Raw genomic sequence first — 27385 nt, forward strand, 5'->3', positions numbered from 1 at the left:
GATTTTATTTTATTTTTATTATGTATGTATTTATTTTATTTTAAGTTCTGGGGTACATGTGCAGGATGTGCAGGTTTGTTACATGGTAGACGTGTGCCATGTGATTTGCTGCATCTATCACCCCATCACCTAGATATTAAGCCCAGCATGCATTAGCTATTTTTCCTGATGCCTTTCCTCCCCCCCCCCGCCCCCGACCCACAGGCCCCAATGTGCTCAAGTGTTTTAATCTCTCTGAGCCTCACTTTCTTCATCTGCAAACCATAACACCTCTGAATCTATTTGTTACTCTAATGCTAGCTATCTAGTGTTTGCTCTCTAAATGTTAGTTCCTCCACCTGGGGGCTGGGCGGGCGGTGGCTGACCTCACCCCATGAAGCTGTCTCCTGGCTTTCCCAGCTAGAGCCTGTGGGTATGAAGATTGCAGCCCCCTCCTCCTGGGGGAGTATTCAGTGTAACAAGCCTTGAGAAAACACTGGCCTGTGGAATTCCAAAGTTAATGAAGGGAACAGATTCCAAGAGGGTCTCTGTTTGACCTTCCACTCTTTCCCCAACCCCGTTACCCCTGAGCGAGTTTGGGGGCAAGCATAGGTTTGTAGGCACTGCAAAGAAGAACTCTCACGCTGTGGTGCAGGACCGTGGCCTTGGCCTCTGGATATCTGGGCCAGGTGGGTGCATTTGGGCCTCTTCCCTACAGCGCCTGGTCAGACTGCAAGAGACATAGGAAGCAGCCAGGGCAGGCTATCTTAAGAGGAGGGAGCATATTTGATAAAGTTAGAAAATGATTCTCAGCTGTCCATAGGAAGAGCAGAGTAAGGGGCTATGTGAGAAGTTTGGAAGATGGCCCAGTTCCAAAAATGAAGAAAGAAAGTAAGAAAGAAAGAGAGAAAGAGAGAAAGAAAGGAAGGAAGGAAGGAAGGAAGGAAAGAAAGAGGAAAGAAAGAAAGAGGAAAGAAAGAAGGAAAGAAAGAAGGAAGGAAAGAAAGAAAGAAGAGAGGGAGAGGAAGGAAGGAAGAAAGGAAAGAAAGAAAGAAAGACAGACAAAGAAAGAAAGACAGGAAGGAAGGAAGAAAGGAAAGAAAGAAAGAAAAAGGAAGGAAGGAAAGAAGGAAGGAGGGGAAGAAGGAAGAAAGAAGGAAAGAAAGATTCATTATTCTGTCCTCTGAACCTGAGTGAAGAAAAATACCCTGTCCTTTGTACCTGCGTGAAGAGAGAAAAGAAAAGAAAAGAAAAGAAAGAAAGAAAGAAAGAAAAGAAAGACAGGAAGGAAGAAAGGAAAGAAAGAAAGAAAGAAAGAAAGAAAGAAAAAAAGACAGACAGGAAGGAAGAAAGGAAAGAAAGAAAGAAAAGGGAAGGAAGGAAGGAAAGAAGGAAGGAAGGAAGAAAGAAGGAAAGAAAGAAGATTCATTATTCTGTCCTCTGAACCTGAGTGAAGAAATATACTCTGTCCTTTGTACCTGCGTGAAGAAAGAAAAGAAAAGAAAGAAAAGGGAAGGAAGGAAGGAAAGAAGGAAGGAAGGAAGAAAGAAGGAAAGAAAGAAGATTCATTATTCTGTCCTCTGAACCTGAGTGAAGAAATATACTCTGTCCTTTGTACCTGCGTGAAGAAAGAAGAGAAAAGAAAGAAAAGAAAGAAAGAAAGAAAGAAACGAAGGAAGGAAGAAAGAAAGAGTGTAAAGAAATAAAAGGCTGTAAAGAAATAAAATAATGTAAAGAAAGAAAATAATGTAAAGAAAGAAAAGAAAGGAAAGAAAGATTCATTACTATCCTTTGGACCTGAGTGGTGTTTTCAGTTAAAATGAGTGGAGTAGAACCCAGAGATCAGGCTTTTGAGGACGGTAAAGCCTCAAGATACATTCTGTTTCTGGCTCAGGGAACCTTCAGGGAAAAGGCTTTGGAGACCAAGCTAGGCAGGGAAGCGCCTTTGCTTATCATGCTGGAGACCAGACTGAGGCAGTGAAGTCACCATAATTGATGGGCCACACTAGACTGGAGCCAACCATGGCCCATTGCTGAGACTCTGGGCCTCAGGGTGGCCTTGGCTGGAACCTGTATTCCAGTGGCCCTGGTGGCTCTCTTCCCTCTCACCTTCCCAGGAGGCAGATTATTTCCCTGTGGTGGGGGTGAGGCGGTGGCGTGGGGGCTTCTTCCCTCTCTCTCTGTCTTGTAGCCTTGTTAAAATAGTGGCCACACGCTGATAGCTGGATTTCCAGTGCAGTTGCTGGGGATGGGGGTCTTTCCCTCTCATCTGTCTGTCACCCTTTATCACTCCACAAGGGGTGGGGGTACTGGACAGAAAGAGTGTGTCCCACCTGATTACTGGGAAGTGCAATGGACACCCCCACCCCCCGTTGACTTATCTGGCTCCAACCGAAGAACAGCTGTTGGTGGTCAGGTCTCTGAGTCACTCAGTAGCTTGGGACTGGGTTCAGTGGGAGATGATGGCATAAACAAATAAACACTGGCTGGCCCCCAGCTCTCAGCTTTCTGCTCACTGGGGGGCCCCAGAAGCTTCCTGTTGCGTCTGCAGGGAAAATAAGGATACCCATAATGAAAATAGTTTTCCTGATGGAGAAATGCTCTGGGGAGGTTGTTGAGGCATGTTAGAAAATCCCTGAGGCTTTCTGGCTCTGTGAGCTAAGGGAGGACACTTGGCCTCTCTGGGCTTTCGCTTGCTCCTTTGGGAAGCCTGTTATTGTGAAAGTGAGATGATCTGGGAGGTAAAACTGGCCAGTTGTCCATCTCCCCTCTCTGAACATGATGCATAGTAAGCCCTGAATCTCATTTAAATTTGGAAGTCAGACTGACTTTGTGACTGTCCTAGTTTCCGGCTGTTGAGTCAGCTCAGGCAGTTCTTGGGACTTCTGTGAGTCTCTGGCTCCCCGTCTCTCAATGGGGTGACAGTCCTCGTCTTGTGCCCCTCACGCGCTTGTTGAGATGACAGATGAGTCACCTCTGGGAAACTGCCTGAGAGCTGGATGACACCACTCTGTGGGATTGCATTTCATCCACAGAGACATCTGGAAAAGGAGGCAGAGCAGAGCCTGACTTTTGATTATTTGGGGAGGGAGCCTGGAGCTGGTGGAAGTGAGGGCATAGAGCACATTCCTTTCAGGCCAGGCAGTGCTTGGCTGCTGAGGCACCGGTGGAGACCTCATGATCTGGTGGTCCGCCTCCCTCTTGTGCTGTGTGTGCCTGGAGCTCTCTGGCTTCCTTGGCTTTCCACTGTCTTTCCCAAAGCCTCCATGTATTCTAGAATCTGCTATGGAGTTTCAGGGGGATCTCTGTATAGTGTGAATATCTAGCTCTGAAACACAAAAGAGAAAGCTACAAAGGGCAACGTAACAAAAGCCGTATTCCCACCCAAGGATTAGCACATGCTCATGAGGTGGCATGCTTTGCTTTGGATCATTGTCTTTATTTTATTTTATTTTGTTTATTTATTTATTTATTATTTATTTTTTGAGATGCAGTCTCGCTCTGTTGCCCAGGCTGGAATGCAGTGGTGCAATCTCAGCTCACTGCAGCCTCTGCCTCCCAGGTTCAAGCGATTCTCCTGCCTCAGCCTCCTGAGTAGCTGGGACTGCAGGCGCGTACCACCACACCTGGCTAATTTTTTATATATTTAGTAGAGATGGGGTTTCACTGTGTTAGCCAGGATGGTCTTGATCTTCTGACCTCATGATCCCCCCACCTCGGCCTCCCAAAGTGCTGGGATTACAGGCATGAGCCACCACACCCAGCCTGGATCATTGTCTTTAAAGAAATTTAAAAAAAAAAATAGATAAATGGGAAGTCTATGAGCCTTGTCTCCCATTCCCCATCCTTCTCTTCATACAAGTACCTCTCCTGAACTTGGGGTATAACAGGTCATGCTCTTACAATTTCATTACAAATCTATTTGAAGATCACTGGTAGCACCATTTTGTGTGTTTTTAAATTCTTAGGTAGGTGACATAACGTATAAGATGTCTGCACTTTCCTCTTTTCTCCCGGCGCTATGCTGGGCAGATGATGCTACTATGCTTGTTCATTCATTCCCTGGGCCACAGAGTCTTGGGTTGTTTCCAGAATTTTGCTTTTGTAAACAATGCTGTCATGAGCATCCTAGCACAGGGCTGCAGGTGCATGTCTGGGTGTGTCCCAGGAGTACAGGGCACAGAGCATGCACATTTGCAGCCTGACTGGAGGTTGCCACATCACTCTCCAGTTGGCACTATTTCCTAGGTTCCTTCCCTGAGAGCCTGGGAACTTCTGGAAGGCAGGAGTGGGTGGTGTTCACCACTATATACCTCTGCCAGTCAGCATGCCCCACACCATGTACCAGCTCATGACACGCCTGAATGGGGTGAATTCTGGAAGGGGACAAGGCAAGTGCCAGGGCAGGTCCAGAGTCTGGGTGTGGAAGGAGCAACATAATGGGGGCCCCTTGCAGAAGCAGCAGAAAGAACAAAGAAATAGGGGCCTGGAGTGGGGGTGTGAATGAAGACATTGCTGTTGAGAAGATACTTGTGAAGAAGCCAACAGCGTTGTCTGGGCCTGGCTGGATATCATGAGGCTGGACATGGAGGTCCCAGGCACCATTGCTGTGGGCTTTTGGGGAGTTGGATGCACAGTGGAGAGCTGAGGAGGAAGTTGGGCTTGCTGCAGAGGGCTGCTGGAGGGGCTGGCTGGAGTCTGGCTCTGGCCCTCACTCACTGAGGGTTATCCAAGTGACCCATTGCAGGAAGAGGGGTGGGGGACCCAGAGTTACTGTAACCACTTTATGAGTCTGTCTCAGCCAGGATCTGGGGCTTCTAGCAAAGCCCACAGCACAGGCACATTTTAGGAAAGGCAAGATTGAGATGCCCTCGGTGGCCCAGAAGGACACTTCAGGGCAGCAGGGCTGTAAAGGTCAGGAGGGGGAAACTTCTGGAAGGAAGTTGAATGTTGTGGGAAAAAGCTGACATAAATGAACAAGGAATGATTTTTTTCTTTTCTTTTTTTTATTTTTCTTTTTAGAGAGACAGTCTTGATATGTTGCCTAGGCTGGTCTCAAACTTTTGAACTTGAGTGATCCTCCCACCTTGGCCTCCCAAAGTGCTGGAATTATAGGCATGAACCACCATTGTACAGCCACAAGGGAAGATTAAACATAGACAGTTTGAGAAGAGTTTTTTTTTTTTTAAATTTCTAATTTTATATTTAATAGAGATGGAGTCTCACTATGTTGCTCAGGCTAGTCTTAAAGTCCTGAGCTCAAGCGATCCTCCTGCCTTGTTCTCCCAAAGTGCTGGGATTACAGGCTTGAGCCACTGCACCTGGCCAAGGGTACTTTTTTTTTTTTTTAAGAAAAATATCGTTAGAAATAGAAAATTTGGATTTGGTAATGGATAGTGCATACTATGAAATAACCTTTTTACTTCTTCAACACTTCCCATGATAATAACACTAATACAAGATCTTTGGTGAAAACTTAGAATGCGTAGAAATGTGTTGGTGGTTGAAAGAGAGCCCCATAACCCTCCACTGAGGAGTAACCTCTGTTTGACCTTAGAAATAATACCTGTGAACAGAATGGCCAACTTGTCCTGGTTTGCCAGAGACTTTCCTGGTTTTGGCACGGAAAGTCCAACACTCTGGGAACCTCCTCAGTCCTGTGCAAACTGGGATGGTCGTTCACCCTACCTGTGAATTGAATGATACCACTGAGCATCAAGCACTTTGACAGTTCACAAGTCATTTCTAGTGCTGTCATTGTGTATACTTGGTTCCGGCTGTGTGCAAGGCATTGTGCGAGGCTGCATGTTCTGGAGCTACACCAGAGCTCCAGAGCTGAAGTTCTATTTTCTTTTTTTTTTTTTTTCACTTTTTATTTTAGAATCAAGAGATGCATATGCAGGTTTGTTACAGAGGTATATGGGATGCGGTTGAAGTTTGGAGTATGATTGAACTCATCACGCAGGTACTGAGCATAGTATCCAGTAGTTTTTCAATCCTTGTCCCCCTCTTTTCCTCCCCTTTCTAGTAGCCCTCAGCATCTATTGTTCCCATCTTTATGCCCATGTGTACCCAATGTTTAGTTCCCACTTATAAGTGAGAACATGCGGTATTTTGTTTTCTGTTTCAGCATTAGTTTGCTTATGATAATGGCCTCCAGCTGCATCCATGTTGCTGCAGAGAGCGTGATTCCATTCTTTTATATGGTTGCATAGTATTTCTTGGTGTATATGTGCCACATTTTCTTTATCCAGTCCACCACTGACGGGCATTTATGTTGATTCCATGTCTTTGCTATTGTGAATAGTGCTGCCATGAACACATGGGTGCGTGTGTACTTTTGGTAGAACAATTTATTTTCCTTTGAGTATACACCCAGGTATGAGATTGGTGGGTTAAATGGTAGTTCAACTTGGAGTTTTCTGAGAAATCTCTAAACTGCTCCTCACAGTGGCTGGACTAATTTACATTCCCACCAACAGTGTGTCAGTGTCTCCTTTTCTACACAGGCCCACCAACATCTGTTATTTTTTGACTTTTTAATGAAAACCATTCTGATTGGCATGAAATGTATCTCATTGTGGTTTTGATTTGAATTTTTCCAATGACTAGTGATGTTGTGCATTTTTTCATGTTTGGTGGCTGCATGAATGTCTTCTTTTGAGCAGTGTCCGTCCTTGTGCTTTGCCCACTTTTTAATGGGATTATTTGCTTCTTTGCTTTTTGATTTAAGTTCCTTATCGATTCTGGATATTGGAACTTTGTCAAATGCATACTTTGTGAATATTTTCTCCCATTCTGTAGCTTGTCTGTGTACTCCCTTGATAGTTTCTTTTGCTCTGCAGAAACTCTTTAGTTTAATTAGGCCCCAATTGTCAATTTTTGTTTTTGTTGCAGTTGTTTTTGAGGACTTAGCCATAAATTCCTGTCAAGGCCTATATTGAGAGGGGTATTTCCTCGGTTTTCTTCTAGGATTTTTATAGTTTGAAGTCTTAAGTCTTTAATCCATGTTGAGTTATTTTTTGTGTGGTGATAAATAGGGATTCTGTTTCATTTTCTTCTGCATATGGATAGCCATTTATCCCAGCACCATTTATTGAATAGGAAGTCTTTTCCCCATTGCCTCTTTTTGTCAAGTTTGTTGAAGATCAGATGGTTGTAGATAAGTGGCTTTATTTCTGGATTCTCTATTCTGTTCCGTTGGTCTGTGTATTTGTTTTTGCACCAGTACCATGCTGTTTGGGTTACTGTAGCCTTGTAGTATAATTTGAAGTCAGGTAATGTGAGGTCTCTAGCTTTGTTCTTATTTCTTAGAATTGCTTTGGTCATTCAGGCTCTTTTTTGGTTCCATGTGAATTTTAGAATAGTTTTTTCTACTTCTGTGAAAAATGATGTTGATAGTTTGAAAGAAATAACATTGAATCTATAAATTGCTTTGGACAGTATGGCCATTTTAATGATTTTGATTCTTCCAATCAATGAGCATGAAATGTTTTTCCATTTATTTGTGTCATGTCTGATTTCTTTCAACAATGTTTTGTAGTCCTTGTAGAGATCTTTCACCTCCTTGGTTAGAAAGTATTACTAGATATTTTATTTATGTGTGTATGAAGCCCTGTTTTCTATCCTTAAGGAGCTTACAACTTGTCTTTGGTATGCAGTAGGGGCATTTCACTTGTGAGAGTGGGGGTCTTACTGTAGCCTGGGCAATACCCTCTTTTATTATTGGGTACTAAGGATTTAAGGATATTTTTGTTCTGGTGGGTTATCCAGTTTTGCAGGTTGGTACCAATGCTGAATTTGACTGCCCCTGGCCCTGCTGTGCAGCACTTTCAGACCCCTAAATGATGTGACCCATTCTGGGGCCAGCTCAGTGTTTTACAGTGATGAAGATGATGTTGATGATGATGATGATGATGTCAACATCCATCATTCTGAGGTGTGTGTCTATCTCTGGCCTCGTTATACCTGCAGAACATTCATGTGGTAGCCAATACCTGGGAAAATAATCCCACTTGCCAGGCAGCAAACCGTGGCCCTCCGTTAGGGGGATGGCATCTCACACTCATGAAGTGTTGAGTGTATGGGTCCCTGGCCAGCTTTGGCAACTGTGAGGCAGGCATTATGCTTCCATTTTACCACTGACAGACTGAGGCCGGTGATGGGGAGCACCTGGGCCTGTTGGCTTGTCTGTGGTAGGCCAGGCTGGCTACATAATATGTGGGGCTCAGTGCAAAATGAAATATGGGCTCTCTTGTGTAAAAATTAGGAAGAATTTCTAGATGCTGACAGCAGAGCTTTAAACCAAGCTCGGGCCCCTCTGAGCCAGGAGCCCTGTGTGCCTGCACAGGCTGTATGTCCAAGGAGCTGGTCCTAGGGCAGGACTAAGGTTCAGGCTTCGTATTGACTTCCATGACCAAGCATCCTGGGTCCAGGCTGTGTTTTGTGTGTCTGCAGAGCTCTGGTCTATCTGCTGATAAGTCCCTGTGGTGCTCAAAGGTACCTGGCTTCCTTGGAGAAAAGTTTCTCTCTCCCCTGCCCTTCCCCAGCCTCAAAATACACAAATGCTCAGATGAATACTTAAGAATCCAACTGGACCAGCTTCTGTCTGTGACTTGATGACTTAATGTGATTTTGGGGGATGCAACATTGGGGGTGATGCTTTAGCATGCCTTCTCTCTCCCACTCAGGAACATGGGCAAATGCCATGGGCTGGGAGCTCTCACCTGCTCTTTTGTGCTGAGCTTCACTATCTCTTCTGGGCACAGATTGGTTACAGGGATATAGACCACCTGTGTGGTGCCCTGGGGGTTATGTCCACGGGGAGCCTCACATGAAGAAGAGAATTTCCTTTGGGATGTGTATTTCTTGTGGTCTTAGCATGCTGGCAATTCTTATTTTTGGCATCATTTAATCCTTACAACAACTTTGTAAGGTTTTCACATCCATTGGTCATTTCTGAGTTGAGCACCTCAACTCAGGTGAATGTGTTTGTATGAATGTTTGTTGAGCACCTACTATGTGCAGGGCAGTGTAGTAAAAAATTGAGGACCTGTGGGTTTTTTTTTGAGTATATATAATTGTGTTCTTCTGTCATTTTACATGACTTTCACCTCATTTCATTGCTGTAGCAACACTGTGAGGTTGTTGCTGTCACCCCCATTTCTCAGGCGAGGAAATAGAGGTTGAGTCAATCTCCCATCTTGGATTTACCTGACATCACAGTCTGAGTCTTTTGTGGCATGTGCAAGAGTGCACTGGCTTTCGGGGCCTGAGCTGGCTGGCCTGGATTGAATCCTGGCTTTGCCATTTGCAGCTGTGGTCTGAGGCAAGTTATTTAACTTCTCTTGACCTCGGTTTCCCCATCTGTAAAATGGGGCTATACTAGTTGCTCTGTGTAGGAAGGGTCTGAGGTTTCAGTAAGATACATTTTGCACAAACCCCACACACACCAAGTATCCATGAAGCCTGGTTATCCTTATAACCTCAGAGCGGTTTGGAGAGGGTTAGGAACTTGCAGATGGTCACATAATCGGTGTATGGCAGATCTTGGGCAGAGCTGGACTGGTCTTCCTAATGAGAGCTCCTTTCCCCACTCTGCTTTCATGGACAGACCCTAATGACCACCTGGGTTATGTTTTTGTCCCTGTCAATTCCTTTGTCCTTGCTGATAACCTAAGGGAACCTTGAGAGCCAGAACGAGACAGGAAGAAAATGCCTGGCTGCTGCTTGCGGGGTTAATTAAACCATTCCTGGGGTTTCATTTGCTCTCTAGTTAGCACCAAAATAAATCCTCCAAATGGCTTTGAGCCTTCCAGTTGACATTGCATTTTGAATTCTGACAGCACCAGCATTTTACATCTTCCTGAGGATGATAAATGTTTAGATAGCACCGAAGATAATGGTAAAAGGAGAAACTGGGGGTAGTTCAGGCTGTGGCTGAGCAGATTGTAACTCTTTGGTGTGACGAATGGGTGAGAAGTTGCTTAAAGGACACATCTGATGTCCCCTGCTCCTAGGGGTTGAGAGGGGGATGGGGGGTGGACTCTGTTTTGCCATCCGGAGAATCCATTGCCTTCCCGATGCTTCTGGGGTCTCATGCTTGAGTCTTGTTTCCATGCGTTCTGTCAGATGTTAAGGTCTTGTGCATAATGGTTGAGGTGTCAATGTGCAGGCGTTAATGTCACCATTCTTATGTAATTGTTACCCTTTATTGAGTGCCTACTATGTGCCAGGATTTAAATATTTCTCTCAGCAACCCAAAGATGTAAATGTCATATCACCTTCATTTTACAGATGTGAAAACAGGCTCGGAGAGGCTGAGACACCCAGCCATTAAGGACTCAGCTGGGATTCCCAGCCTTCCCTGGCACTCTCTCTTTTTTTTTTTTTTTTTTCTGTTTTGAGACAGAGTCTTGCTCTGTCAGCCAGGCTGGAGTGCAGTGGCACAATATCAGCTCACTTCAACCTCCCTCTCCCGGGCTCAAGCAATTCTCCTGTCTCAGCCTCCCGAGTAGCTGGATTTGCAGGCATGTGCCACCGCACCCGGCTAATTTTTATTTTTAATTTTTTTTGGTAGAGACGGGGTTTCACCATGTTGGCCAGGCTAGTCTTGAACTCCTGACCTCAGGTAATCTGCCAGCCTCGGCCTCCCAAAGTGCTGGGATTACAGGTGTGAGCCACCATGCCCGGCCTTCCCTGGCACTCTTGAGCATGTTTCCAGACCGCCTGCTTCCTACCCCAGACATGTCAAAATGCGGTGCTGTAAATGACAGGGCTCTGGTCCCAGATGGACAGCCCGGGCCCTTTGAAGACACTCTGGCCTTCAGGAGTCTGGATCTTTATGCCTGATGGAACTGACACGGGCCTGCTATGTTTACAGTGCCTGTTCTCCTGCAGGGTCTCCGGAAGTCATCAGCCGTGCTGGCCAGCACTCCGGAGGATGACAGGAAATTCTGCTGCAGCTCTGTGGGCTGGCTGGGGTGCATGCTGGACAGGGAGCGGGCGGACAGGGCTGGTAGGGAGGAAAACACCACTGAAATAGTTCAGACCGTATTGTCAGTGAATTCCTGGATTAGTATGCAGTGCTGCCAATGATCAGATTTGGGTCAGGAAGCCCAGATGGCAGAAAGATTGTGTTAAATCTTTATATTTTTCCACGAAATCCTCACCGTTTCAGACCCTGTTTTCTAAGCTATCACCCTAATAATTGTGGATTTTGGATTTCCAAGGCACGTTTTATAGTGGTTGTAAGGAGGGGATGGTTGGGTTGGGGATTGGGATGGGAGGGGGGTAGCTGAAGAAATAAGAAAGTGCTGCAGAAAGGAGCACATTCCACACCCAGCTTCTTCCTGATTGTGTTTCCCTCCAAGCAGCGAACAAGAGGCTGATTCAAGTGGCTCAGTGGCCTCCCTGCCTGGAGTTGGGTTCCTATGCCTTCCAGTGACTAAGGAGGAAATTCCATTTCAGTTAATCTGTGGCCGCGCATCACCCATGGCATTCTCTATCTTAATTTTATGGCTGCCTCATCTTTTTGGAATTCGCCTTCTTTTTGTGTGTTGGGTGATAAGTCAAGGAGACATATGGCACAGCTCCACAAAATACAACCACATTTTAGTATTCCGTACACAGTCCTTTCTGGGCATCCCAGGCTTTGTATTTTCACGTTGGTCGGCCGTGAGGAGGGTGGATCTTCATTATCTGTGCATGCATGTGCATCCCTTCATCCCTTCCTCTTCAGTTTCTTTTCTTTTTTTTTCTTTTTTCTTTCTTTCTTTTTTTTTTTGAGATGGAATCTTGCTCTGTCACCCAGGCTGGAGTACAGTGGCGTGATATTGACTCGCTGCAACCTCCGCCTCCTGGGTTCAAGCGATTCTCCTGCCTCAGCCTCCTGAGTAGCTGGGATTACAGGGTTGTGCCACCACGCCCGGCTAATTTTTGTATTTTTAGTAAAGACGGGGTTTCACCATATTGACCAGGCTGGTCTCAAACTCCTGACCTTGTGATCCGCCCACCTCAGCCTCCCAAAGTGTTGGGATTACAGGCGTGAGCCACCACATCCAGCCTCCTGTTCAGTTTCTTAACCCTTGATGGGACTCCCGGCTAAACACCCCCATTGTCTGGGACCTTGAGATTAGATGCAGTAGCACTGCTGGTTTCATGGTGGACTTTGAGTCGGATGGAGGAACTCCTTGGAGTGCGGGAGGAAGGGCTGCGGAAGGTGTCTGAACTATCGTAGCAGTAGGGTCCCTGCCACAGGGAGGTGAGGCAGCCATCATCACCAGTCCTAAGAGGTACGGTCACCCTCCGCCTCTGTCTCCCTCTCCAGTCCCCATCCAATTTCAGCTTTGAACCCAGCTGCCGGGTCTTCAAAGCCTGTTCTGACTTACCCAGCAGAGTTGGTTGCTCTGTCCTCTTAGCTTATAGACGCTGCCCGTTTTTTCCCCACGTGGCCCCTGCCATTTAGGTCCATGTCTCTCGTGATCCTGTGTGTATTTCCAGTGGAAGGACAAGGTTTGGCCCACTGTATATTTGAAGGCCCTCAATATGGCGTTAGTTCGTATTTACTGATGGATGAAGAACTCTGAGGAGATCTGGTTGAAAGAGACTTTTAAAAATTAAAGGGAAATGGGTCACGCAGGCCGCGTTTTTGTCCTTGCCTATTGGCTACTTTTGCTATTCAGATCATCTGTGAATGTAAGTGACTGTCTGCTGTGTTCGCAGTGTGGTTACTGGGAAAACAGAGCTCTCTCTCCCCAAATCAGGTGAAACTACAGGAAAACAGTAGGCAAGAGTCTTCAAAGTGATGCATCTCGAGAGAGAGAGGGCCTGGGTCTGAATCATGGCTTTGTGCCTTACCAGCCTGTGATTCTAGTCACTTTACCTTCTGAGCCTTGTTTTTCCCAGCTGCAAAATGAGTGTGATAATAGCGCTTGCTTCAGGGGATTGTTTCAAGGATCAGTTGAAATAGTGCACACCGAATGTTTGGCATATGTGCGGAGCTCTTTGGGGGTGACTCATGGGCAACTGTTTTTCATTTAAGAACTGAGTGGATTGGACCTTTAAGAACTGCTTTGGTCCCACTGTCATGGGAGGTTAGTGCTGTCTGGAGCAGGCATGGGGATGTGGTGGTACAGGGTAGGGTGTAGGGGTCCCCAGAATTGGGGGCCTCCGTGTTGGAAAGGGACAGTGGGCAGAGTCCATGCAGGCGCTCTGGGGCTGACAGGGACCTGGGACTTCTTTCTGAGAGGCAGTGACCAGCCAACTGGAGTGGAGGGTTGTGGGGAAAATGTTTGGCCAAAGGATTTAGGAACCAGAGAGAAGCAGGCACATGATGCTCCTTTTCTTGGTGGGGTGTTCATCAGGCCTGTAGCTGCCACAGTCATCACTGTGGCTGAGATTCATACCTGTAGCACCAGAGTGGGAGGCAATTTTTCCAACATGGGGCAGAGGCTGGGTGTGTGGGGATTGGTTGCAAGGTGCTGGGAGTGGGGTGCAGGGAAGGGCCTCTGCACACCACGTCCGTCCTCATCCTGCTATGAGGTCAGCTCTGTACATGTGCTGGAAGAGCAATTAGCGGGGTGCCTAAGCAGTGTCCATCATGGACGTGGGTCTCTGCTGGCCACGCAAGGGGAAGATGGGACTGGTGGGAAGATTGGGGAGATGGAAGCGGGGGCAGTTGTGTGCGAAAGGTACAGGGTCGTGGAAACATGCACAAGAAAGTGACATTTTAGAAGGTGGTTTTTGTTCCATAATAAATTTATTAGCTTTGGAATCTGACTCTATTGCCTTGGCTTCTCCAAACTTTGGTGTCCTCATCTGCAAACTGGGGATCACAATCTCAGTTTTGCAGGGAATGTGAAATCCTGACCTGAAATGATCACATGTGTAGGAAGCTGACAAAGAATGCTAATTTTCTTCCTTCTTTTCTTTATGGCCTTTCCTTGGTAAATCTCTGTGTGATTGATAACTCATGAAGAACCTACCAGTCAAATCAGTTAAATTAAATGACTTCCTAATGATAATAATTAGATTAGTAACTAATAATCATAGCTGACATTTATCTAGTGCTTATTAACTTCTGGGCAGTGCGAATTTGGTCTCATCTGTTAAATAATTTAATTCCTGTAATAATCCTAGGAGGATGGTGCTATAATTAGCCCCATTTTACAAACAAGAAAACTGGAGGATCAGAGAGGCTAAGTATAATGTCTAATGTCACACTGCTGAAAGTGGCTTGCTGGTGTTCCAGCCCCAACAGTCTGGCTCCAGAGTTTGTGCTATTAACCATTATATCAGTCTGCTGTGTGTGTGTGTGTTTGTGTGTGTGTGTGTGTGTGAGAGAGAGAGAGAGAGAGATTGTGCATTGTACGGTGAAGAGCAATAGAAATCATTATAAGGCATTCCTGTGCTACAGTCTTGGTGGGTCAGGCTTACTTATAGAAGCTGTGAGAAGGATGGGGCTATGGGCTTTAACTCAGTTCTGACAATCTGTCACTCCCAGAACCTGAGGCAGGCTGGACCTATAGACTTCCACCTCCTCTTCCTCCTGCCCTGAACCGTCCAGGGACTCAGAGGAGGTCAGACAGGTGGGACTCCCAGAATAGTGACCTCCTCTGCCACTTGCAGCCTATGTCGGGCTCCTCTTATAGAGCCACCCCCTTGCTTATGCTGTAGTGTTCCTTTGTTCTGGCCATAGTTTTCCTGGGCCTGTGTCAGTTGAGTGCGTCCAGATGCAGCTGGGTTGAGACTCAAAGCCCTGAAGATACCGCAAGGGGAGTGCTCCTGTGTGCAGTTGCTCTGACCTGCACAGCAGGTCGGAGTGGCCGCCGGTCCCCGGCTGCCAGCTGTTTACCTGGCCGGCCTTGCAAAGGCTCTTCAGGGCCAGGCCCCAGCCGGTGAATCACTGAAACTGATCCCCGTGGCCACTGTGAAGTACGGGACTGGAGGTCTCCGGAGGAGATGGCAGCTCTAATAAAAACAGGCTGCCAAACCGCAGAAACTGTATAAGCCTCTGTTTCTCATCCTCGCTACCACCCCTGCGTAGTCCCTGTTTTACAGTTGAGGAAACCGTGGCCCAGGGAAGGTCGGGAACTTGTCCAAAGGCACAGTCATAGAACTAGGGCTTACACCAGCTGTGTCTAATAGCATGCGTGCCCCCTCTGCTGTGCTTTTATTTGCTTCTTGGAGTGCTGTTTAGAGAAATTGATGGTTCTTTTGTTGTGACTAGGGGTCCGCACTATGGGTGACCTCCCTGCTCCCTTTGGCCTCAGGCCCTTATCTTAGGCGATGGCCAAAAGAACAGCTTTACATTCAGTAAACTGTTTTAACTGAACCTCACCACAGGTTTACGGGTGGTGCTCGTTTCATAATGGATAAAGAATGGGTGTGGCTCAGTGTGGGGAAGTTGGTGGATGGGGAGAGGGCAGCAGAGTAACCAGCTTTTAGTGGAGACCTGGATTTGAGTGCCCTGAGTTAGGTGAGCCTTTGTACCTGTTTCTTCACTTCTTGGAGCAGAACATTAGTTTCTCCAGATCCCACATGTGATAAAGTTCTGTGATCCTGCAGTTTGAACATCCTGGCATTCAGCTCAGCCCACTGTGCAGAAATCTATACTAAACATGTAGACAGTTTAGGAAGAGGGATTGTTTATTGTGTTGAATGTTATAGAATAATAGCTACTTAAATTTTGGAGCACTTGCCATTCATCTTCCAAGTGATTTCTACGTGTTGACTCATGTAACACAGGCAACCACCCTATAATAAGTACTATGTTTACACACCCACTCTACAGATGAGGAAACTGAGGCTCAGAGGAATTAAGTAATCTGCCAAAGATCCCTTGGCAAGTAAGTGGCTAAGGGGGGATTGGAACCCAGGGAGAGAGCATAATCCTAGGAGGAGATTCTGCCAAGGTACAGCCCTCCACGATGGAAGGGCAGCAGCCTCCTGTGAGCTGACTCACTTGAGTTATTCCACACCATCCCAGTGGAGAAGTTGGATTATCCCTATTGTGATAGAGGAAGAAAGGTGAAGGAATTTGCCAGAAATTATAAATGGTGACATTCGCATTGAACACATGTCCACTGACCCCAAATACTGGGTCATTTTATATCTTTCCCTCCCTTCTTTTTTTTTTTTTTAGACTAGTCTCACTCTGTCACCCAGGCTGGAGTGCCATGGCACGATCTTGGCTCACTGCAACCTCCACCTCCCGGGTTCAAGCAATTCTTCTGCCTCAGCCTTCCAAGTAGCTGGGATTACAGACACCTGCCACCAGGCCAGACGAATTTTTTGGATTTTTAGTAGAAATGGGGTTTCACCATGTTGGCCAGGCTGGTCTTGAACTCCTGACCTCAGGTAATCCACCTGCCTTCACCTCCCAAAGTGTTGGGATTACAGGCGTGAGCCACGCCCACCCACCCCCTTCACACCCCACCTTGTTTTTTTCTTTTTAGTAGAGATGGGGTTTTACCGTGTTGGCCAGGCTGGTCTTGAACTCCTGATCTCAAGTGATCCGCTTGCCTCGGCCTCCCAAAGTGCTGGGATTACTGGTGTGAGCCACCACGCTTGGCCTCTTCCCTCCCTTCTTGCTAACTTTGAAGCTCAGCTCCTTGTCCAAGAGCCTTTCTGTCCAGGTGTTTTCATGGTGCCTGTGCCTTCTGCTGGTTTGGAGTGAGCGGTTTCCACAGCATCCTCCCATCAGCCATGCATTCCTCAGGGTCAGGCGCAACATGCTCTTCATATCTGCTCCCTGGCACTTGGCCTTCAAACCAGGAATTCACTGCACCTAGCCTGATCCATTGACCTGGGCCCAGTATAGGCCCTCCCATGTTGGGAGGCCATGGGGTGTTAAGGTTAATGCTGGGCCACACATGACTGTGATGAGTCCCTTTCTCTCTGCTGAAGAACGTGTTTCCATGGGGGACAGGGGCAGTTAAGCCTGGGTTCTGTTGGGCGCTGCTGCTTGGGTGGGTCCAGTCTGCCCCATGTGGGGTCTGCATTCTATGCCAAGTGTTGGCAGGTTCTGCCAGGTAGAGCTCTTCAGTATGGAAGCACTTCCCTGTGCTCAGCCTCTCCCCGACTGTGCACATTTCCTTCTCTTCTGCTGGGGAAATGGAAAACAGCTGACCACTGATTCCTTGAAATCACCTACTCAGACACTCCAGGGTCTGTGTGGGATTAAGTCGTCCGCAGTCTTTCCCTCCCTTAATCTCTTCTAACCTTCCTCGAAAGTGCCGTTTCCCACCCCATTTTAATCATGCCCTTTGCTCTCGCCTGGACATCTCCAGGGGCTCCAGTGCCTCTCTAAGTGAAGGGTTTGGGGCCACACACATGGCTGTCTGTTCTCTCCAGGCCCACATGCAGAATCCAGCAGCCCCCTGGCCTCACACCTGCTTTTCAGTAGTGGCTGGGACTGCCAGATGAATAGGCTTGAGGCAGCATACGAGTTTGCTATACACTTGCTCAAAACATTAGTGGACTCAAAACCAAAAAGACAACCCAGTTTCAGAATGGGCAGAAGACTTGAACACACATTTCTCCAGAGAAGTTATATAAATGGCCAATAAACACATGAAAAGATGCTCAGTAGCCATGGTTGTTAGGGAGATGCAAATTAAAACCATGAGATACCCCTTCATACCTACTAGGATGGCTGTAATTAAACACCACCACCACCAACAGCAAAAAAAAAAAAAAAAAAAAAAAAAAAAAAAAAAAAAAAAGGCAGAAAATAGCAAGTGTTGGTGAGGATGTAGAGAAATTGGAACCCTTGTACATTGCTGGTAGGAATGTAAGATGATACAGTCTCTGTGGAAGACAGTTTGGTGGTTCCTCAAAAAGTCAAGTATAGAATTACATATGACCCAGCAATTCCACTCCTAGGTGTATATCCAAGAGAGTTGAAGGCGTATGTCCACAAAAAGCTTTTACAGGCATGTGCACTACTCACAACAGCCAGAAGGTGGGAACAACCCAGATGTCCAATGTCTGTCCGCGGAAGAATAGCAAACAGTATTCAACTGTAAAATGGAATGAGACATTGATACATGTTACAACATGGATGAACCTCAAAAATGCTGTTCTAGGTGACAGAAGCTAGGCACAAAAAGTCACATATTGTCTGATTCCATTTTTATGAATTTTCAAGAATAAGCAAAATTATATAGACAGAAAGCAGATTAATGGTTGCTGGGGGCCATGGGGAGTAGCTGCTTAATGGGTACAAAGTTGTTGTTGGTTTTTTTTTTTTTTTTTTTGAGACCGAGTTTCCCTCTTGTTTCCCAGGCTGGAGTGCTGGAGTGCAGTGGTGCAATCTCAGCTCACTGCAACCTCCACCTCCTGTGTTCAAGTGATTCTCCTGCCTCAGCCTCCTGAGCGGTTAGGGTTACAGTCATGTGCCATCACACCCGGCTAATTTTGTATTTTTGGTAGAGATGGGGTTTCACCATGTTGGCCAGGCTGGTCTCAAACTCCTGACTTCAGGTGATCCACCCACCTCGGCCTCCCAAAGTGTTGGGATTACAGGTGTGAGCCACCACACCTGGCCAATGAGTACAAAGTTTTATTTGAGGGTGATGAAAATGTTTTGGAACCAGATAGACATGGTGATTATACCACATTGTGAATGTACTAGACAAACGTCACTGATTTTGTACACTTTAAAATGGTTAATATTACTTTATGCAGATTTTACCTCCATTAAAACAGTTATGACATCACAGATCCCATCAGGTTAAAAGAGGACATGTGGGCCAGGCTCAGTGGCTCACACCTGTAATCCCAGCACTTTGGGAGGCCGAGGCGGGCGGCAGATCACCTGAAGTCGGGAGTTTGAGACCAGCCTGACCAACATGGAGAAATCCTTTCCCTACTAAAAATACGAAATTAGCCAGGCGTGGTGGCACGTGCCTGTAATCCCAGCTACTTGGGAGGCTGAGGCAGGAGAATTGCTTGAATCTGGGAGGCAGAGGTTGTGGTGAGCCGAGATTGCATCATTGCATTTCAGCCTGGGCAACAAGAGCGAAACTCCATCTCAAAAAAAAAAAAAAAAAAAAAAAGAGGATATGTGGACACTATGTCTGGCACTTAAACTGGTGGATTCTATAGAGATGGGATGGGTTCATTAGCCCCATTCTACAGATGAGAAAGTAGAGGCTCCATTAGAGCACACAGTGTAGAAGTGGAACCAGGATTGGTCTGACTCTAGAATGCTGCTTTTGATCACTTTTCTATGTTCCTCTTCCTCTACAGTGGACAGGTTTTGTTTTGTTTCGCTTTGCTTCAGATTCTTGGCTCATGCCAAGTGCTGTGTGCCATGGGTACATCACCTGACCCTGAAGAGCCCAGATCTATGTCTTTTCATGCAACCTTGCCCTGTGCTTTCCACATATTCACATCCTTCACAGTCAATCCCACCCTGGCCACTAGGCCAATAGGGACTCCCCACATCCCACTTACAGGGGGGCAAATATTTATAGCCAAAAGAAAACAGAAGATGTGGGTTTGAGTCACAGTTCCACTATGTGGTCATGGATGAGTGCCTTCAACCCTCAGTACCTCAGTTTCCCTAAATGTGCAGTGGGAGAGCATGAGAACACTTATCTGATGTCTTCCCTGGGGTTTTGTGAGGATTAAACACACCATGTAGGGGCAAGTGCTTTGAGAATGGAAAAGCACTGTGCAGACATGAGTGATGTGCATGATGGTTATTGTTAGATGTTCTCTCCTGGAATCAAGTTCAAGCTTCTTGCATACTCAGCAGAGAACAGACCCAAACTCCCGAATCTAGTGCTGTGGCATGTGGTTGGTGCTCAATAATGATTTGTTGTGTGAACAAGTGCATGAATGAGTAGTAGGTCAATGACCTCAATGTGGGCCTGGTCAGGATTTAGATTTCTTGTCTTTGTGTGTGCTCAGCCCAGGACTGAATGCACAGCAGGCTGTCAGGAAGTAGTCATGGATTGATGTGTCCGTATTCGCCATAACCAAGCAGGAGATAGATGATTTCGTTCTGGTCTCTGGATTTTGGCTGCATTTTCTCTCATAGTAGGAATTATTCCCGGAAGATCCAAATGCTCAGCTTTGTCCTCCTCTCATCCTGGTGAGGCGTGTGATCCAGGTGAGAAGCAGGGAGAACTGGCCTTCCTGGTGGGAAGTTGTGGGCCATCACCTTAAGCTTGGCTTGTAGTGGTGGGAGACCTGTGTTCCTTCCTTCCTGAGCCCCACTTCCTCTTGATTTTATTGTATTTTTAGCAGCACTGAGCTGAAGCTTTCTGGGTTGCATGTTAGAGGCAGCACTTCTTGCACAAGCTAGGGGAGCGTGAGTATCGTTTCGGTTCTGATAGCAGGATGGATTGTTATGTATCCTTTCTGATGGAGGCTACCAAAAGCTTTAGATGTTAGGATGGATTATCTCACCTTGCACAAGACAGTGAGTGCTAGAGTTTAAGTTTTCTCCTCTGCAAAATAAGGAGTGGCAGTGAGACTTAGAGCATCTCTCAAGCCCACTTTGGCCCAAAAGTTCCATGACTGTGGCAGTCTAGAGTAAATGTGTTTGATAGCCCCTAGTTACAACTCTCTTCTGTCTCTTCCCCTTTCTGCCTGCGCTACCATCTAATCCATCCACGCAACCACCCATCCACCCACCCACATTTCCTAGCCAGCTCTCTGGACCAGGCCTTGTGTTAAGTCCTGAAGACACAGAAAAGGCTAAAACAGCCCCTGGTCTTAAGGACTCACAGATCATGAGGAGGCGATAGATACTGGAATAGAAGGCAAAAGTCAAATGTCATGAGTGCTGGGATTCAGAAAGGTGCAGGCTGCTCTGGTAGCAATAAAGGAAACCAGCTCTCCCTTGAGATCCCTTTCATGAGGGTTATAGCCTGGATCCTGTGATGACCCAGGACAGACTGGTCTTGATCCAGGGGAACCATATCAGTGACCTCAAGAGGCCCCTTTTAGCCACAGTAATCTATGATGTGGAGTTCTCAATTGCTGGCTTTGCTGGAGAAAGAGAGAAGGAAGAAATAGAGGGGCCGGTCAGCCCTCCTGTACATTTAGTTTGCGGTCTCAAACCTCTGTTTCCTGGAGCTGCAGGCTGTATGTGTGGGAGGTGCACAGCAGTGGCTTGGCCGCCCCAACGCGCCTACAGCCCGCTCTGGGGACAGCCGTCTTTTGGCAGAGTCTGCCTCTGCAGTGGTGGCAGCTGGCCCAGGCAGACCTCCTCTCTGTCCGGTTAGTCAGCGTCTGGTGGCCAAGGGCAGAGTGGAGCCTGTGTTTCCGACAGGCCAGCTGCCCCTCAGAGTGAGGCAGCGCCGTGATTCTGAGGGTGATGCTGGCGTTCGCCCCTCAACCCTGTCCCCCACAAGGAGATTACGGACAAGGCAGCATTTCTAATAAGCAGCCTCTGCTTGCCCCGTAGCAGATGAAAGACTGCGTGTAAGAGTGGGTAATTTTGGGTTTTCCTGATGAAAGTAGTTGACATTTGTGCTGAGACCTCATGCGCTCTGCAGCGCTGCCTTTCATCTCTGCTCTCAAAGCCCTGCTCATCTCTGCCATGACTCGGGGGCGGCCTGCGCCACCGGAATTCAGTTGGGCCAGTGGTGAAATATAGAGGAAATGGTGGAATGACCCCTGAAGGCAGTGGATGGGGGAGTGGAGACAAGTCCTGACTTTCCTGGTGGAGGGGATGTTCCTGGGGGTGTGGAACTGTGTATCGGCCCATGCAGCACAGCCAGGGAAAGAGTGTGGATCTTGGAGCTTGGTATGGCTGGCTAGATTGGAAAGGCAGCTCCTCCACGGACTTGCTCGGTGAATGGAGGGCATCCTTTCTCTTCCCTGATCTGTGTCCTCATTTGTCAGTGGGAATAATAGAATAACATTACTACCAACGACGATGGCTTTCACAACTGGAACCACTAGGCCCTCAGGAATGTTTACTGGCTTCTAGTCTCATTGATAAACTGAAGCCATTGTGCCATAGCTCTAGAGAACTGGCACTAGGGGCTTGCATGATTCATCTGAGTTCCCCAGACAATGCTGGCACATAGTAGGCCCTCCATAAAGTAAGAAGGGACACTTTGCTCCTGACATCCATACAGCTCCTCTAGCTTTGCAGAGAAAGCCCTAGAGAGAAAGAATGTGAAGGAACAAAGGGTCAGGTTAGGTTGTGCAACCTTTCTGATATGCATTTGTAATGCAGTGAGCAAATGCACAAGCCTTGAGTCGCTGCATTCTTTTCTAACCACCCAAGAGATAAGTTGAACCCCCACTCGTAGCAACCTGGCCACTTGTCTGTTTAGTCAGCCCTGGAATACCTCCACTGACGGGGCACTCACTACCACTGAAAGATGGTGTGCAGAATTCTAATGTTCTTCCTCTCGCGGGGTCGTGGGGGCTTTCTTCCAGTTCTCTGGGTTCTGATCGTTGGGGCTGTCCTGACACCCTTCTTCAGATGACCGCTGTCAGGTTGGTGAAGGCAGTGCGCGTTGGGCCTTCCCTCCCTAGAGATGTGATTGCACGTCGGGTACCAGGAGCCTGGCCAGCCCTCAGCTTCTGCTAACCAGGGAGCAGTGAAGCCCGGTTTACTTTTGTTGGCTTGTTTATTTTCTAATGTCACCTGCCTCTGCACTTTAAGTAGTATTTGGGCTGTTATGGAGTGTGCACATTCTAACACAGCACCTTGTCAGCTGGCTGAGAAGCTGAAAATTCTCGGCATTCCTCCTTGATGTCAATTACTTCAAGGAGCAGGAAGGTGACTTCTTTTAACAAGTGGAAAGGATTCAGGTAACAAAGCCATTTCCTCTTCTTAACCCTCTACTGTGGAAAGTTATTGACTTAGCGACACAGTCTGTTTATCTGGGCTTCAGGAGCAGGGCTTTGGAGACTGAAGGCTTCTCCCCACTTTTGTGCAATGTTATATATTTTTTCTCACTCTTCATCCAGTCTGAGTGGGGTCTGCCCCCTCCCCTGAGCAGTCACCATCCTGCTACCCACTCCGGCTCTATTGGCGACTGTGGCATAGGGTGGTGGAAAGGACGCTGGACTGAGAGCCCAGAGATCAGATGTCTGACCTTCCCTCTGCCTGGAAGAGCTGCCTGGCCTCTGATCAGGGTCCCTACCTTCGTTTTCTGGCCTCACTCACTGTGGCCCACCATCCAGCAGTGCAGGTGTCCTGGGGACTCGGGGAAGGTCAGAAGTGGAAGGAAAGCCTCCAAGCCCTCGCATGCAGGCCCACCATTCCACTGTCAGGTTTTCTTCCCTTTCCTTCTGCTCTACATTTTGTGCCAGCAGTTTGGGGGTCTCCTGAATCTTATCCCTTCGCAGCGGTAGGCAGGTGCAATTTCTGGCCAGTCACTGAACATGAAGAAGCATCTATAGGCGGAGTTAAATCCAAAACACTTGGCCTGACACACCTGGCCTTGAAGTCTCCCCCAGCCTCTCCTCTTGTCCCCAACAGTGGTTCATGTTCTAGCCACACAGAAATTGAGGGGGTCCTGTGTTATCTGTGTTCCTGCAGACAGAGCTTGCCTAGGACAGCAAAAGTCATCCTAACATAAAAATATGCATGAATAAACTCACTGCCAACATTCAGCCCACCCACATCCAATGATAATCAGTCATTTACTGATGGCCAGACGTTGTAAACATCTGTCAGTCCACTGCAAGAACAGCAGAAACTCGTAGCTGACCTCCATTTGGCCTACTCACTGAATTAAGTGATGTTACTCATTCGCTTTGTAAAAGCAAACTGAGTGAGGCCCCAGGCTCATTGAAGACTCTGTGGGTTACCCAGAAGCCCAACTTTCCAGATTCAATATTTTTTCTATTTCTTAGCTGTGTTACCTTGGGCAAGTTAATTAACCTCTCTGTGCCTGCATGTTGCATCTGTAAATGAGACTAATACTAGTACCCACCTTCTAAAGTGATTATGAGCATTAAATGAATTAGTACGTTTAAAGGCTTAGAACAGTGTTTTATGATACGATAAACACTCAATAAATGTTAGCTATTGATATTGGTGTGCCCAGAAGGCTTGTTACTACTAGTTGATTTATGTGCTTGCCAAAAGTTGTTGTGTTGGTAATTAAGTACGACATAAACTAATGAAAATTGAGTTTATAAAGAGTTGTTTTATGAAAAGTTTAGTACTTTGGATAGAATGGATAATATTGATTTGCTAAAAAAAAATTGTCACCAAATAACTTAAAGGCAAAACAGCTGTAAAAAATTGTAAAACCATAGTTTGTATTCCATATGCTTTACAGGTGATTAACTTTGGCACTGCTTTAAAGAAACTGAAACCAGGAATTGTAGATGTTGACTTGTGAGTGTGTATTTTGCATGGAAGATGATTTGCATCTCTAGTCAGCGTGCCAAAAAAAGATCCTACCCTTTGATTGGTTAATAAATATGCAACTATAATAAAATATTTAAGTGTTGGTCCTTAATGATTGCCTACATTTTCAATGAAATGACAGTGGCAGAACTGAGGAACAGGGGTTTTTCTCTCCAAGGCAGATCAGCTGCCAGAAATTGCACGTTTTGTACCAGCTGCAGGGTTTCCTGGAATCAGCAAAGGCCTGTGAGAGGCTGCATGAACCACACACGCTTACTGACACCTCCTGTGTGCCGAGCGCTGAGTAGTGCTGAGGATATAGCAATTGGGGAGCACTAGCAGAATCAGGGTTGTTAACCGTGGAGAAGAGAAAGGAAAGATGATGTCTCTCTATGCAAATCAAGGGAAAGTGATTTAAAAATGTTAAAAAAAAAAAGTTAAGAGAGGTCTTCGAAAGGTGTTTTGCAAAATGATTCCTTGGATTAATGATGAAGGAGTGGAGTGAAGGAAGTTTATATTTTGTGAGAAAACGTGTGCTAAGGAAGGCCTCGACATTAGATTCATTCTGTACACAACTCAGCAAATTAGATCATAGTTTAAAATGATAATTTCAGGGGCCGGGCACAGTGGCTCCTGCCTGTAATCCCAACACTTTGGGAGGCCGAGGAGGGAGGATCATTTGAGGCCAGGAGTTTGAGACCAGTCTGGCCAACATATCGAAACCCCATCTCTATTAAAAAATACAGAAAATTAGCTGGGCTTTGTGGTGCATGCCTATCTTCCTGTCTACTTGGGAGGCTGTGCATGAGAATCACTTGAACTCAGGAGGCAGAGGTTGCAGTGAGCCAACATCACGTCACTGCACTCCAGCCTGGGTGAGACTGCGAGACTCTGTCTGGAAAATAAATAAATTTAAAAAAATTATAATTTTTGGTTCATGTTTTTTTTTTTTTTTTTTTTTTTTGAGGCAGAGTCTTGCTCTATCATCTAGGCTGGAGTGCAGTGGCGTGATCTTAGCTCACTGCAACCTCTGCCTCCTGGGTTCAAGCAATTTACCTGCCTCTGCCTCCCGAGTAGCTAGGACTACAAGCATGTGCCACCACGCCCGGTTAATTTTTGTATTTTTAGTAGAGACGGTGTTTCACCATATTGGTCAGACTGGTCTTGAACTCTTGACCTCGTGATCTGCCCGCCTTGGCCTCCCAAAATGCAGGGATTACAGGTGTGAGCCACTGCACCTGGCCAGTTCAGGTTTCAAAGTATAAGATCAATCTTATTTTATGTATAGTTTATGTGTAATTATAAATTGTATACTAATAAAGTCATTTTTATAATTCTTTATTTCTTTTTCCAAGATACCCACCCCCCCCCCCACCAAGGAGGGCTAGGACAAGTGACAAAAGTCACCCCAGATCACAGCCAAATGGGTAGAGCTAGGAATCCGAAGTAGGTGATGAAGCTTGATTTTTCAAGATGCTGCAACCCCTCTCCCCCATATGCTACATTAAATATCTGGACCTATTTTAAGTGGGTTCTTTTCTGGGGTAATGAGGTTCTCTTCTGCCTCAGTTTTCCATGGCTGCAGAGCTCCTGCTGTTCCTTCTGCCTAGTTCACTCTTCTTTGCCTTGACTGCACCTCTCTGAGCTACCTTCCTACCTCCATCCTTGCATTCATTAGGGGTTTCTTTATGTGTCCAGCTCACTGTGGGACCCAGGACTCCTTGAAGAGGGAGATCTTGCTCATCCATCTGTGTCCCCCACTCTACTGCCAACACAGTGGTAGGAAGGGAAGGCGGCAGGCTTAGGCGAGGTCCTGCAGGCTGGACAGGATCTGTCACCATTACTTAGCCCAGGCCCATCTCTTTACTTCCAGACCAACTGGTGTCACCATAATGCCTTCTGGCAATTTGAAGATTCTGGCAACCTCTTACCGGATGCAGCTGGCAGGATAATCCCTGTGCATTAGCCACTTTCAGAGGTATCTGGGCCCCCAAAAGAGTCACGGGAGTCCCAGACATGAAGGAGCATTAGTGGCCATCTCCCCACCTTGCTGTATCAGCAAAACTGCTAAGCCCTGACCCATATTTTGGGCAGTGCTCACCCTATCTCATTTTATCTTACTGTATATCTCGTTTGTATCATTTTATTAGGTATCTTATTTTATCTCATTATATGGTAATCTCATTTGCTGGGTAGACCAGTGAGGAGGGCTGGGACAAGTGACTGGAATTGCCCAAGGTCACAGACAAGTGAGGTTTAGAGTTAGGACTCCGAAGCAGGTGGCGGAGTCACCGTTGAGTTCATCATAGCGATGCTGGCTGCCTCAAAGTACTGTTTTAGTTAATGCTCACAAGCAACTCTGCGAAGCAGACGGGCCATTCATTTGTGCTTCACAGTGTGGGAAACTGAGTCAGAGCAGGTTCATGTCACACAGCTGATAAATGACAAAGCCAGATGTGAAGCCTGTGAGTTGGATTCCAACATTCATCTTTGATGAAGCGTTCAGGTTGGGGCCTGGTGTGGGACATGCTCAGAGGAGGACGAGGAGGATGATTTGGGGGAGGCCTCAGAAGGCGTTCCTGGTCTGAGTGTGCTGCTGTCACTGCCTTGGTTTGGGTCCCCGCTTCTGAGCAGGATCTTCTATTGGCAGAGGGTTCAATGCAGTGGGTGCCATGAAGGAAGATGTCTCCCCAACAGCATCACAGTCTCAGGGACTGTTCACATCACATTAAAAGCGCTGAGACTCTGGCTTTTGGTGAAAACGGCTATTTTGTCTTGTTCCACGGGAGCTGGGAAGAGGAGACTAAACACAGGAGCCTCCCCCTAACCCAGGGGCACATGGAGAAGGAGGAAGGCAGCCCATGCTGGGGAGCAAAAGGGAGAGAAGGCGAGGGCCAGAGCCCTGGGAAGTGTCAGATCCTGGTGTGCCGCGCTTCTCCCAGGTTGTATAATCAGCTGTCACTTCAGCATTTCCCTGCATCAGCCTTCCCAAGTACAGATTGAACATTAAACAAACAGTGACGGCTTTATAAATATTTAACTCCCACTGTTTAGGAATTGCTCGGG

The 27385-nt window shown here is 46.8% G+C and overlaps 1 long non-coding RNA gene across 51 annotated transcripts in view, besides 9 other annotated features; it reads left to right on the forward strand.

Annotated features, from left to right (window-relative positions):
- PVT1 (Pvt1 oncogene) overlaps positions 1-27385 on the forward strand; it is a 306733-nt gene that overhangs the window by 102072 nt on the left and 177276 nt on the right. Inside the window, exon 4 of one of the 51 annotated variants that reach the window (NR_186126.1) lies at positions 5861-5944. The exons of the other annotated variants lie outside the window; for them this stretch is intronic. This is a non-coding gene — a long non-coding RNA (Pvt1 oncogene). The remainder of the gene's footprint in view (positions 1-5860; positions 5945-27385) is intronic. 51 annotated transcript variants of the gene reach the window in all.
- Positions 1767-3372: an enhancer, noted in NCBI's record as "1.6 kb fragment used in the MYC e1 reporter construct". NCBI's record gives its function as "activates a MYC promoter by reporter assays in K562 erythroleukemia cells {active_cell/tissue: K562}" and the evidence as "EXISTENCE:reporter gene assay evidence [ECO:0000049][PMID:27708057]".
- Positions 2301-2368: a transcriptional cis regulatory region, noted in NCBI's record as "e1 or genic|chr8:128910525-128911445 region (GRCh37 assembly coordinates) targeted for CRISPR interference". NCBI's record gives its function as "positively regulates MYC gene expression in K562 erythroleukemia cells {active_cell/tissue: K562}" and the evidence as "EXISTENCE:mutant phenotype evidence [ECO:0000015][PMID:31784727]".
- Positions 4582-5236: an enhancer, noted in NCBI's record as "H3K4me1 hESC enhancer chr8:128913423-128914077 (GRCh37/hg19 assembly coordinates)". NCBI's record gives its function as "activates a minimal SCP1, AML or CMV promoter by ChIP-STARR-seq in primed H9 embryonic stem cells {active_cell/tissue: H9 hESC(primed)}" and the evidence as "EXISTENCE:reporter gene assay evidence [ECO:0000049][PMID:30033119]".
- Positions 7662-8163: an enhancer, noted in NCBI's record as "H3K4me1 hESC enhancer chr8:128916503-128917004 (GRCh37/hg19 assembly coordinates)". NCBI's record gives its function as "activates a minimal SCP1, AML or CMV promoter by ChIP-STARR-seq in primed H9 embryonic stem cells {active_cell/tissue: H9 hESC(primed)}" and the evidence as "EXISTENCE:reporter gene assay evidence [ECO:0000049][PMID:30033119]".
- Positions 11214-12145: an enhancer, noted in NCBI's record as "H3K27ac-H3K4me1 hESC enhancer chr8:128920055-128920986 (GRCh37/hg19 assembly coordinates)". NCBI's record gives its function as "activates a minimal SCP1, AML or CMV promoter by ChIP-STARR-seq in primed H9 embryonic stem cells {active_cell/tissue: H9 hESC(primed)}" and the evidence as "EXISTENCE:reporter gene assay evidence [ECO:0000049][PMID:30033119]".
- Positions 12146-13078: an enhancer, noted in NCBI's record as "H3K27ac-H3K4me1 hESC enhancer chr8:128920987-128921919 (GRCh37/hg19 assembly coordinates)". NCBI's record gives its function as "activates a minimal SCP1, AML or CMV promoter by ChIP-STARR-seq in naive H9 embryonic stem cells {active_cell/tissue: H9 hESC(naive)}" and the evidence as "EXISTENCE:reporter gene assay evidence [ECO:0000049][PMID:30033119]".
- Positions 14912-15501: an enhancer, noted in NCBI's record as "NANOG-H3K4me1 hESC enhancer chr8:128923753-128924342 (GRCh37/hg19 assembly coordinates)". NCBI's record gives its function as "activates a minimal SCP1, AML or CMV promoter by ChIP-STARR-seq in naive H9 embryonic stem cells {active_cell/tissue: H9 hESC(naive)}" and the evidence as "EXISTENCE:reporter gene assay evidence [ECO:0000049][PMID:30033119]".
- Positions 19371-19440: an enhancer, noted in NCBI's record as "active region_27953". NCBI's record gives its function as "activates an Ori minimal core promoter by ATAC-STARR-seq in GM12878 lymphoblastoid cells {active_cell/tissue: GM12878}" and the evidence as "EXISTENCE:reporter gene assay evidence [ECO:0000049][PMID:35858748]".
- Positions 23207-23734: an enhancer, noted in NCBI's record as "H3K27ac-H3K4me1 hESC enhancer chr8:128932048-128932575 (GRCh37/hg19 assembly coordinates)". NCBI's record gives its function as "activates a minimal SCP1, AML or CMV promoter by ChIP-STARR-seq in primed H9 embryonic stem cells {active_cell/tissue: H9 hESC(primed)}" and the evidence as "EXISTENCE:reporter gene assay evidence [ECO:0000049][PMID:30033119]".

The sequence above is a fragment of the Homo sapiens genome, chromosome 8, assembly GCF_000001405.40.
Source record: "Homo sapiens chromosome 8, GRCh38.p14 Primary Assembly".
NCBI lineage: Eukaryota > Metazoa > Chordata > Mammalia > Primates > Hominidae > Homo > Homo sapiens.